This window comes from Homo sapiens, chromosome 1 (genome assembly GCF_000001405.40).
Source record: "Homo sapiens chromosome 1, GRCh38.p14 Primary Assembly".
Taxonomy (NCBI): Eukaryota; Metazoa; Chordata; class Mammalia; order Primates; family Hominidae; genus Homo; species Homo sapiens.
In genome coordinates this window covers 67394582-67406632 of record NC_000001.11, presented here as the reverse complement: position 1 = coordinate 67406632, position 12051 = coordinate 67394582, and the positions used below count along the sequence as shown (strand labels likewise).

At 44.1% G+C, this 12051-nt stretch overlaps 1 protein-coding gene across 20 annotated transcripts in view; it reads right to left on the bottom strand.

The window, feature by feature from the left end:
* Nucleotides 7909-12051, bottom strand: part of IL12RB2 (interleukin 12 receptor subunit beta 2) — a 91361-nt gene continuing 87218 nt past the window's right edge. For 14 of the 20 annotated variants that reach the window (XM_011541384.3, XM_006710617.3, XM_005270827.3 and 11 more), the window contains one exon: nucleotides 7909-11086. In XM_011541384.3, the coding sequence (XP_011539686.1) occupies nucleotides 10544-11086 (543 nt within the window). In that variant the 3' untranslated portion in view covers nucleotides 7909-10543. The remainder of the gene's footprint in view (nucleotides 11087-12051) is intronic. The other 6 variants (NR_047584.1, NR_047583.1, NM_001258214.1 and 3 more) reach the window with 1 other exon arrangement.

The window sequence follows — 12051 nt, the reverse complement described above, 5'->3', positions numbered from 1 at the left end:
TGTGCTTCAGACCTCTGTATTTTGTTCATAACAGTATACGTTGAAGATGGAGTGGCACTTAGTCACAGTATATCAACGAAATTCAGTAGATTTTGTTGATACACAATCCAGTATTAACAATTGGACTGACCTCTTGCATCTTTAGTCAAATGCTAGACCTGGAAGTCATGTTGAATTAAGAAATGCTTTGTATGCTGAGTACTTCTAAGTGAAAATACAAACAACGTGAGAGGTTCTCTTCAGGAGAAAATTGACAGTTTATTAAGAGAAAATTTCCAATAAACTTGATTAAAGAATTTAACCAGCACTTCTCAGTTACAGGAGAGCATGGATGTTTCCTTTTTTCAAGATCATCAATCTCTTGCTGCTTAGGGTTATTAAACCTTAAAAATAACTGCAGATTTTTAGATGAAAAATTTTGAATTGAAGATTGCAGCTGTAGCTGATGAAATGACTTACTGATTATCCTTGCAAATTATTTTAATCTCACAAGCAGGTTAAAAGTGGGTGTAATTCTTTTTAAGCCATCTCTACAGCTACTCTGCCAAAGACAGATTAGAGTCGGTAAAGAGACTCTGAAGTGTTTACAGGAAGGCAAAGGAATCCAGTCAATTTAAGTATGAGAGTTGGAAAAAAAAAACTTTGGAAACAAGTGTTGTGAAAAGAAGGAAATGCTCTTTGTTACTAATTTTCATCCAATTTTGTAAGTGTTTTTACAGTTTTTCTAACTAGTGAAAATGCCCTGAGGGTGAGTGGGTGTTGTGCCCTTCCTTGAAGTGTTTCCTTGGGTCCTATTACTTATAGGTGGTAAAATGCCTGAAATTGGAAGGTATCTTGAACCTCACCTGTCACGGTCTTGCATAGGCAATGCCAAGGTCTCTTGATGGAAGAATTCCTTAAAGTTGTGGAATTGAAAAGAGGCCTGAATTGACCTACAGGGACCCTTTGGCAGCGTATGAGAGGTTTGTATCTTAGTGATGTGATTGAAGTCTCAGAGGAGCCAACTTTAGAATAGTGTTGACACTTGTAAATAAGAAAAGAAGTGACCACTAGCAAAGTATGGAGCCACTTATCACAGAATGAAGGAAAGGCACTTATTTGTTTCAACAGCTCAGCAACAAAATTGAGTTAAATACAGCCCTAATTCCTTTTTGTTTAAGAAATAGCCTTTATTTTTAGAAAAAGTCAAGTAAATTGGGTGGAATTCTAGATATTTCAATTAAAGAGGGAAGAGCATATTTTCTGGTTCCTGTTTAAAAGAATGTTTTTATTAATGACTTAAAATACTCCATTTATCAGTTTACTTCAAATAGTTCTTTTCAAGGAGTGGTGCTTCCGTTTTCGTGGCCTACCTGTACCTTGTATTATAGGATTTAGATTAGCTGGGTAGATAAGTTAGCAAATTCAAGAGTGCCAGATTTGTCCTAGTGTCAATTTGTTTTTAAATTTATCTGTTTTTTTAGGTTGATTTCTCAAGAGCCAAGAATGAACTAGAACTTCAGAAGTATGGAAACACCAGTTTTTGGTTGCCTCATAAAAATAACTTTTTTTGGTCTGAGTTTATTTCAAAGGTTTTTTGGAGACTTCAAAGATTTGTACAGAATCACAGTTACAGTCAACTACAGTGAGAATGCCAATTGATGTAAACTTGTACAACATTTGCACAGAATGGAATTCGAGAGTATTTAAAAGTTACGCTTTGAAACTAGACTGTCTGGTATAAGGTATTAGTTGTGTGAATTCCATTATTATTTAACCTTTGTATTTGTTCCTCACCTGTGTGGTGGTAAGAACTGATTTACAGTCCTTAAAAACTCTATGCACTAAGTACTGTTAGTGTTACTGACTGTAATTAACAATTCCTATTAGAATAGGAATTGGCAAAAATTGGCTTATTATGTTTTTATTTATTTTGAGATAGTTTCATTCTGTTGTCCAGGCTGGAGTGCAGTCGCACGATCTCACTGCAACCTCTGCCTCCTGGGTTCAAGTGATTCTCCTGCCTCAGACTCCTGAGTAGTTGGGATTACAGGCATCTGCCACCACGCCCAGCTAATTTTTTTTTTTTTCATTTTTAATAGAGACAGGGTTTCACTGTGTTGGCCAGTCTAGTCTCGAACTCCTGACCTCAAGTGACTCACCCGCCTCGGCCTCCTAAAGTGCTGGGATTACAGGCATGAGCCACCACGCCTGGCCTATACATAAATTGGATTTCAAAGACTGATGACCTCAAATACTACCTTAACACTCCCATCCCCACATCACTTGATTGTGTCATGTGCTTTGCCTTTTCTTGGTCTGACAGAAGCACTAAGGGTCAATGCAAGTGCCAAACACAGAAGGCAGGGCAAAAGAAACATGGGACAGGGCCACAAAGAAAGTAGTCAGCAGTATCTGTTTCTAGACCCCCTGTCCCAGGTCTTTGAAAAGAAATTGGTAATATTTTATTGAGTATCCAATTATAAGAGTAGTGAGTAGGTGTGATTAAAAGAACGCAAAAATTTAGTTAAAAACTATGGCTAGAGGTAACCATGGTTAGCATTTTAATGTGTATTCTTTACAATTTTTTGCATTGATTTATGAAAGTGAAATGATTCTATTCAGCCTTTTTTTCCTTTTTCTTATTTTTTCCAGACGTCATTACAAATATTCAGCCTTTTGTAAATGACCGTTTCCATGTCAAATATATATATATATATATATATTTTTTTTTTTTTTTTTTTTAAAGAGACAGGGTCTGCCAGGCATGGTGGCTCACTCCTTTAATCCCAGCAGTTTGGGAGGCCTAGGCGGGTGAATCACAAGGTCAGGAGTTCGAGGCCAGCCTGGCCAACATGGTGAAACCCCATCTCTACTAAAAATACAAAAATTAGCCGGGCATGGTGGCGGGCATCTGTAATCCCTGCTACTCGGGAGGCTGAGGCAGGAGAATCACTTGAACCCGGGAGGTGGAGTTTGCAGTGAGCCAAGATTATGCCACTGCACTCCAGCCTGGGTGACAGAGCAAGACTCCGTCTCAAAAAAAAAAAAAAAAAGAGGTCTCACTCTTGCCCAGGTGATCCTCCTGCCTCCACCTCCCAGGTAGCTGGGACTACAGGTATAAGCCACCATACCCAGCTAATTAAAAAAAAAAAAAAACTTGGTAGAGATGGGGTCTTGCTATGTTATTGCCCAGGCTGGTCTCGAACTGGCTTTAAGTGATCCTCTGGCCCTGGCCACCCAAAGAGCTGGGAATATAGGCATGAGCCACTGCACCTGGCCTTGCTTATACTAAAAACAAAACAAAACTGCATAGAATGCTTTTTATCAATTCTAAGATCCCAAATTTCAGGCGTATTAACATGTTAAATTGTGCATCATAGATATCAATGGCATATTATCGTTTTATTGGCATTTTTTTCTACTTAGAACATAAACTAATGAGATGTCTTAAAACTGCTGGAGTCTTAGATTCCTTGAAATTCAGTGTTTCATTGTACAGATATATCATGATTTAACCAGGTCTCTACTGAAGGGCATTTAAGGCTTTTCCCTCTCACTCCCTGCCCCTCACCATTTTATAAAATCAAATGCTGTTGAGGAATCCTGTATTCAATTTAATATAATTATACTGTTCCTTGGGCTATATGTAGGAGTGGAGTTGCTTATTCAGATTTTATCGAATATTGCCCGTCTGCCCTCCACAAAGGGGCCAACTTACACTCCTGATTTTTATTTTTATTTTTATTTTTTGAGATGGAGTCTTACTCTATTGCCCAGGATGGAGTGCAGTGGCGCAATCTTAGCTCACTGCAACCTCCACCTCCCAGGTTCAAGCAATTCTCATGCCTCAGCCTCCTGAGTAGCTGGGATTACAGGCGCCCACCATCATGCCCAGCTAATTTTTTTTTTTTTTTTTTTAAAGTAGAGACAGGGTTTCTCCATGTTGGCCAGGCTGGTCTTGAACTCCTGATCTCAAGTGATCTGCCCACCTCGGCCTCCCAAAGTCCTGGGATTACAGGCATGAGCCACCATGCCTGACCTGTTGCAAATATTTGTGTGTGTGTGTGTGTGTGTGTGTGTGTGTGTGTGTGTGTGTGAGAGAGAGAGAGAGAGAGTTTTGCAAGGCTTTAATTTTAATCTATTTTGGAAATTCATTCTAATCAGGCTGTGATGTAATGATCCAGTTTGTTTCCATCAGCCAGCAGATTGATTGAATTGCTTATCTTTTTCTAGGGTGGGAAGAAGACCCTCTGATCTCTTGAGAGGTGCTTTACTCATGAGGGTCCACCTGTAAGCCTTTCATAGAGGTGGATAATGTGAACTTCCATGAGTCCTGCAAGTTAGGAAGAGGAAAACATGCCTCCTTTGGAGGGCTTGAGTGGTGCTATTGGGACAGGTGACAACTGCATTAGATGCAAAATTTTTAATTTAGATTAAAAAGAGTAGAACCTGGTGGAGATAAACCAAGAATCGTACATGGGGAGCTGACTATAATAGAATGTGCCTAGTTTGGCATTGCTTTCACAGGTCTCAGGGGATTGGTGACTTAATGCTGAAGCTGAAAAGCTATTAATGGAAGCTGAAAAATTGGGATAATGTGAAGAGAAGGAAGAGAAAAAAACTAACACTAGTTTAATTTTCCTATTGCCTATAAGGTAGGCAGAAACCCAGAAAATAAAATCTCTGGCTTCAGGGAAAGAGAGGTCCTTCAAAGATACTCATGGTGAGGATCTCACAGTTGATGGTGAGGATTTCCATGAATTCATTAAGAATGAACTCAAGGGCTGAGTGCGGTGGCTCACACCTGTAGTCCCAGCACTTGAGGAGGCCGAGGCAGGCGAATCACTTGAGTTTAGGAGTTTGAGACCAGCCTGAGCAACACTGCAAAACCCTGTCTCTACAAAAAATACAAAAATTAGCTGGGCTTTACTCTCAGACCACAACTAAATACAGAAGCAACTTCTGTGACCAGATGGTGGACATCAGGGGGTGTTTCCCCACACCAAGCAGCAGACGTCATCTGGGTGTCCTCTAATTCAGTGCCAACACTATTCTGGGTATTGGGAACCCAGAGATAGTGTCAGATCCCACAAGTTGCGGGCTCAGTCCCCAAGACTGTCCCACTCCCACCGGTTGTAAGTCCAGCCCCCTGGAACTTCTGACCGATCAGCTTCAAGTTGTTCCCACAGCCCCTTCTTTGGGTTTGATTAATTTACTGGAGCAGCTCACAGAACTCCGAGACACAACTTTGATTGGTTTATTCCAAAGGATACAGATAAAGAGATATGTAGTGCAAGGAATGGGGGAAGGGGCATGGAGCTCCCATGCGCCACCTTTTAGGAATCTCCACATGTTCAGCTATCATCTGGACGCTCTCACGCTCTCTGAATCCAGTCCTCTTGGGTTTTGCTTTTTGTTGTTGTCTTTTAAGACAGTCTTGCCCTGTCGCCCAGGCTGGAGTGCAGTGGCATGATCTTGGCTCACCCCAACCTCCACCTCCCTAGTTCAAGCGATTCTCATGCCCCAGCCTTCCAAGTAGTCAAGATTATGGGCATGTGCCACCATGCTTGGTTAATTTTTGTATTTTTAGTGGAAATGGGGTTTTTGCCATATTAGCCAGGCTGGTCTCGAACTCCTGGCCTAGAGTCATCCACCCACCTCGGCCTCCAAAAGTGCTGGGATTACAGGTGTGAGCCAACCGTGCCTGGCCCTCTTGGGTTTTTATGGAAGCTTCATGACATCAGCCTTCCTTCTCCCAGGGTATGGGTGGGACCCTCTCATGGGAGGGTCTTAAGACTCACAATTGGAAAGGCAGGGGAATGTTAGAGTGAAAGGAGGATAGGAGAAGGTCAGAGGCTGGTCCCTGAGGCCTGACACACCCAACATAGCAAAAGACTGAGGAGGGCTACGGGAGTTATTGTTATGGGACATCCATAACAATGGAGTCCCCATCCAGACCCCAAGAGGGGATTCTTGGATCTTGAACAAGAAAGAATTTGAGGTGAATCCACAGAGTAAAGCGAAAGTAAGTTTATTAAGAAAGTAAAGGAATGAAAGAATGGCTACTCCATAGAGCAACAGCGTGGGCTGCTCAATTGAGTATACTTACAGTTTTGTTGTTGTTGTTGTTTGTTTGTTTGTTTGTTTGTGACAGTCTCGCTGTGTTGCCCAGGCTGGAGTGCAATGGTGCAATCTCGGCTCACTGCAACCTCCACCTCCCGGGTTCAAAGCGATTCTCGTCTCAGCCACCTGAGTAGCTGGGATTATAGGCGCATGCCACTATGCCTGACTAATTTTGTATTTTTAGTACAGATGGGGTTTCACCATGTTGGCCAGTCTGGTCTGGAACTCCTGACACCTCAGGTGATCCACCCACCTCAGCCTCCCAAAGTGCTCGGATTACAGGCGTGAGTCACCATGCCTGGCCTGAGTTATTTCTTGATTATATGCTAAACAAGAGGTGAATTATTCATGAGTTTTCCAGGAAAGGAGTAGGCAATTCCCAGAGCTGTGAGTTTCTCCCCCTTTTAAACCCTATAGGGTAACTTTCTGACGTTGCCTTGGCATTTGTAAACTGTCATGGAGGGAGTGTCTGTTAGCATGTTAACATATGCATATTATATGCTAATTATATGCATTATAATTAGCATATAATAAGCGTGAGGATGACCAGAGGTCACTTTCGTCACCATCTTGGTTTTGGTGGGTTTTGTTTGGCTTCTTTACCACAACCTCTTTTATCAGCAGGGTCTTTGTGACATCTTGTGCCAACCTATCTCATCCTGTGACTAAGAATGCCTAACCTCCTGAGAATGCAGCCCAGTAGGTCTCAGCCTTATGTTACCCAGCCTCTATTCAAGATGGAGTTGCTTTGGTTCAAACACCTCTGACATCAGGAGCCCGCAACCATGGATGGAAACCAATATATATCATTATAAGACCACAAAATTGCAATTTTCCTGAGGAATGAAAGCCTAGCTGTATGTTGGTGAGTATCACCTAGATCTGGTGAACCTAGCAACTTGGTTTGGGGTTTTTACTAGTGGTGGGGGGCAGAGGGGAGAAGGGCAGATTGTGAAAACCGCTTGGGGCAATGGCAGAACAGAGTTACCCATCTTCTGTCATTCATGGAAAGAGGACACCTTATCTGGCAGAGTGAGCTGCCAAAGACATGCTCAAATACGTCTTTAAAATGAGAAACACCCCTCCATGCATCACAATGGTGCTGTCAACAAATGGGAGAGAATGGGGTTTGGGGAGGAAAATGAACGAATGCAAACAATTGTTCCAATAAGGAGGAAATGGGCACAGATGGGCTGGCTTCTGGAATAGAAAGAATAAGACAAAGCAGTGGCAAGTGATACTGCTGCGAAAAGACAATCAGTCTAAGGCAAAGGGAAAAGTCAAGCTGGGAACTGCATCAGGCAAAGCTGCCTCCCATTTTATTCCCCTTCTCCCCCGAAAAACTGCATACTTTCCTCACAATTTGCCTACGAGGGCTTCAAGATCTTTACTCTAAAACAGTTCTGTTGAATTTCACCATAGCTGATCTTCACAAGTGTGGGACAAAGGATACACAGAACTCAAAGTCATCCCTCTGTTCACCTGAGCTACCTCCTTCTCACATGTAAATTGTGTATTTAGTAAAAGGCTGATCAAAACCCCAAAAGAATGCAATCTTTTGTCTCTTATTTACCTATGACCTGGAAGCCCCCACTTTGAGTTATCCTGCCTTTCCAGACCCAACCAATGTACATCTTACATATGTTGATTGATGTCTTATATCTCCCTAAAATGTATAAAACCAAGCTGTGCCTTAACCACTTTGGGCACATGTCCTCCGGACCTTCTGAGGGTGGGTCATGTGTGTCCTTAACCTTAGCAAAATAAAAACTTTTTAAATTAATTGAGACCTTTCTCAGATACTTTTGGGTTCATGATGCTTACTTTTTTATTGGTAGCTACTATGGACCAGGCATGATGCTGGTGCTGGGGAAACACTGCCAAAGTTCCTGCTTTCAAGTTGTCTGCAGTCCAACAGAGAAAGTAAGTATATGGAAATCATGCTGAGGAGGCCTCAGCATCCTTAGGAGTCTTTAGGAGTCAAGGAAGGATTCCTTAAAAAAAAAAAAATTCTTTTTTTTTTTTGGGAAGACAAATGAGGACTGCAGTATCATATGAGACTTTAAGGGAAAGAAAAGGATGGGGAGGTTAAATGGGAGACTTGGTAAAATGGGGTGTTGTAGACACAAGGGAGGGGAGGAGAATAGTGGCTGAGATGGATGAGAGATAATCAAAAGGAAACCAAAGATAGGAAAAACCAGGTATTGTAAGAAAACAGTGAAGTTAGCTCCCATTGCCAAAAGATAATAGGTTGTTCCGCTTCTGAGGAGGTGGCCTTGTCTGTCATGGTTTGTGCCAGTCAAGGGCATGTCTGTCACGGTTTGTGCCAGTCAAGGGCATGTCCTGGGTACAGGCAAGCTACAGCGATGCTGAGAGGAAAGGAACCATTGGGGGTGCCGCACAATAATAGCTAAATAGAGTGGAATAGAAATAGAAACGAAGGAACTTTTCAAAAAAAGCCTGAGAGAACTATAGGTGTTAAGTTTGGAATTTCAGGAAACAAGGATGTATCAAGAGTTCCAACCTGAAGAAGCAGAGCAACTGTCCATCGCTCAGTTTCTAGAGCTCTGAGGGAAATCTGGAAAACCTAAAGCCCGAGAACAGTTATTTCTACAGGACTGGGGTATGCATGGACAAGTTTTTAGTTCCTCACGTTAGGCAAGAAGTACACATTTACAACAAGTACTTTGTTAAATGAAAATCCAGACGATGATGGGGAAGCCATCTCAGTTCCAGCGTTCATGTGGGAAGGGGTACGGGGTGGACCCCAGGCTTGACAGGAATTTAAGAAAAAGTATTTTGGATCTTTTATCCTGTTCTTTAGGGAAGAGCATTATTAGCAGTTTAGACCAAGACTTCTCCACTAGTTTGGCAGAAGTGCCTATGGTGAAGAGACAGAGGCAGCAATGGGCTAGGGAGGGTGGCAAGCCAGGGGCCACAGCTTTAAAGAGCAAAACATGGATCATGTTCCAAGTCCATGTTGTGGAAAAGAGAGTTATCTTCCAGGCTCAACTTGAGCTGGCAGAGGACCAGCTCAATATCTTCTCCGGGAATGAAAGCTGTGCCTTTGGGAACAGGGGACAGACCACTTCTGAGGACAACCTCAGAGGTTGGGGTCTTAGACCCTGAGACAGCCCTGGTCCTGAAGGCAGGGCCTGCTGCAGCAAAAAGGAGAGGAAACAAGGGGTCAGGGAGCCTTTGGTCCAGCCCTTTACAAGACACCCGAGATTCAGAGTGGGAGGCTGGGTTGCCCAAGGTACTATGGTACTATGGTGAGTTTACAATATAGGTCTTCACCATCCAGCTGCCCTTGATTTGCTGAAAGAGGATGAAGCCAAAATAAAACAATAAACCAGCAAATCTAGGAAAAAGGTACATTCTTTTTTTTTTTTTTCTTTTTTGAGACAGAGTCTTGCTCTGTTGCCCAGGCTGGAGTGCAGTGGCTCACTGCAAGCCCCACCTCCCAGGTTCATGTCATTCTCCTCCCTCAGCCTCCCGAGTAGCTGGGACTACAGGCGCCCGCCATCACGCCCAGTTAATTTTTTTTAAAAATATTTTTAGTAGAGATGGGGTTTCACCATGTTAGCCAGAATGGTCTCGATCTCCTGACCTCATGATCCGCCTGCCTCAGCCTCCCAAAGTGCTGGGATTACAGGCATGAGCTACCACGCCCGGCCAGAAAAAGGTACATTCTTAGACTTCTGCAAATGAGACCAGTCATGACCACCTTGGGGGCCCTTTTACCTTGGTGTTTACCAGTGTCTTTTATGTCTTCATCTATAGAACTAGGTTGATTTGTTTTGAAGGCTCTCAATAATCTAGGAGCCATCTAGAGCTGTGCACTCCAATACAGTAGCCACTAGCCATGTGTGGCGATTTAAATTTACAATCAAAATTTAATTCCTCAGTCAAGCTAAACACATTCCAAGTGATTAACAGCCAATGTGCCTAGTGTCTAATGTACTGGACAGTGAGTGCAGAGGTAGAACATTTCCATCATCTCAGGAAGTTCTGTTGAACAGTACTGATCTGCTGTGTACAGCCTGCTGTGTAGCAGGTGCTTTAGAAATAGTCATTGCATGAATGGTCCTCTAGACTGTATGCCATTACTACTAAGAGCTGTGGTTTCTACTCTCCTCCTCATTTCCCTTTCTGGCCAGCATACCAAGAAAGTTACTAGGAATTCAAGTTGGAGTCTCTAGGTCCACACAGTGAAGGATGTAATTTTAAGGCCCTGGGAAAGGCAAGATGAGGCATCTGAGTGAAGACCAACTCCCAGTTCCTAAGACTCCCCCAGAGCTGGCTTGCCTGTCCTCTAGCTGCAGCCAGACCGATGGTGGCACCCAGAGATGACAGCTGCTGGAGCAGGGGCTGGGGGAATTGGGGCAGGCTGTGCTGGTTGAGGGCACACTGACTTTAAGGCTTGAAGCCTCACCACTCAGAGCATGAGGGAGTCACACCTCATCTTTAACTGATCCAGAGTCAGCTTATCACCACAGGAGAAGGTGAGTGGGTGAAGAGAACTTGAGGGGAAAACAGAAAGGGAGATGTGCTGAGGCTCCAGTTCTTCCAGAGAGTCAGCGAGAGGTGCCTCATGTGAGGGGAGGTCATCTATGTTGGAGGGTAAGTAGCCATCATGGGTGGGAAGGTCACCTGCTGGGAGCACCGTCCAGGGACAGGCTGGGTTTTCGGGCTTTGGGTCGGAGCCCCTGCTCTCCAGCACCTTGTACAGATCCACCAGTTGTCTGCTCTCAGCTTGGAGAGCTCTTGGAGGTGGTGGGCTTGAGGCACTGTGCATCATGTCTTTCTCAGAGGCCTGATGACCTTGGATTCCTTTTTCCCTTTGTGGCCAGTTGGAGCAGGGGGGATGTCTGAAAACTGGGGTCACTTGATGAAGGACTTCACTGATGACCAGCGGTTCAGGATCTTCAGGCGTGGGCCAGTCTATCAGGAGCCTGTCCAAGGGCAGCTGTGTCTTCTCCTGAGAGAAAGGAGGAGGAAGAGGCTCACACTGCTGTAGAAGTGACCTTCACAACCTATTTCTCCAGGGTTCCCAAAGGCCTCACAACCTGCACTGTCTCCTCAGCCCTGGCTGGAACATGTTGGGCACTGGAGTTTGCGAGGTAAGAGAAACAGTTAACATTGTTGGGGAGGCAGAGGGGCAGGAGCCAGAGACTCCTCTCAACCCCCAGCCAGTGAGTGATTCACAGCCCTGCTCAACCTTCAACCTGTTTCTTTCTTTCTTTTTTTTTTTTTTCTTGAGACGAAGTCGCCTTCTGTCACCCAGGCTCAAGTGCAGTGGCATGATCTTGGCTCCCTGTAACCTCCGCCTCCCAGGTTCAAGCAATTCTCGTGCCTCAGCCTCCCGAGTGGCTGGGATTATAGGCATGTGCCACCATGCCTGGCTAATTTTTATATTTTTAGTAGAGACAGGGTTTCACCATGTTGGCCAGGCTGGTCTCGAACTCCTGACCTCAAGTGATCTACCCACCTTGGCCTCCCAAAGTGCTGGGATTACAGGCATGAGCCACCATGCCCAGCCCCGTTTCTAATGTGAACCAAGCTATACTACCTGCTTTTCCTTGAGGACAGAGGGCACTGGAGATGCAAAGGAAAGGCTGAGACTGCTTCTGTCTTGGGGAGGAGGCAGTGAAGCCTTTAGGATCACACTAAACAGGTGATGAAGGGACACGAGAGCTGAGCTGAGTCCTGAGAGATGTGTGGTGTTTTCCAGGTAGGGAGGTGCTGGCAAGGAGGACTGGTGTATTTTGGAACCTGCTAGTTATTTCTTATGACTGGTAACCCGAGGCTTCAGAAATAGGAGGCGGTCACATCACACAGGGCCTTTTAAGTGATGCAAGGGTGTTTGTGCCTTGAGAGAACTACCGAAAGGTTTCAGGCAAGGTAATATTCCTTGTCAGATCTGCTTTTAAGAAAGACTACTTT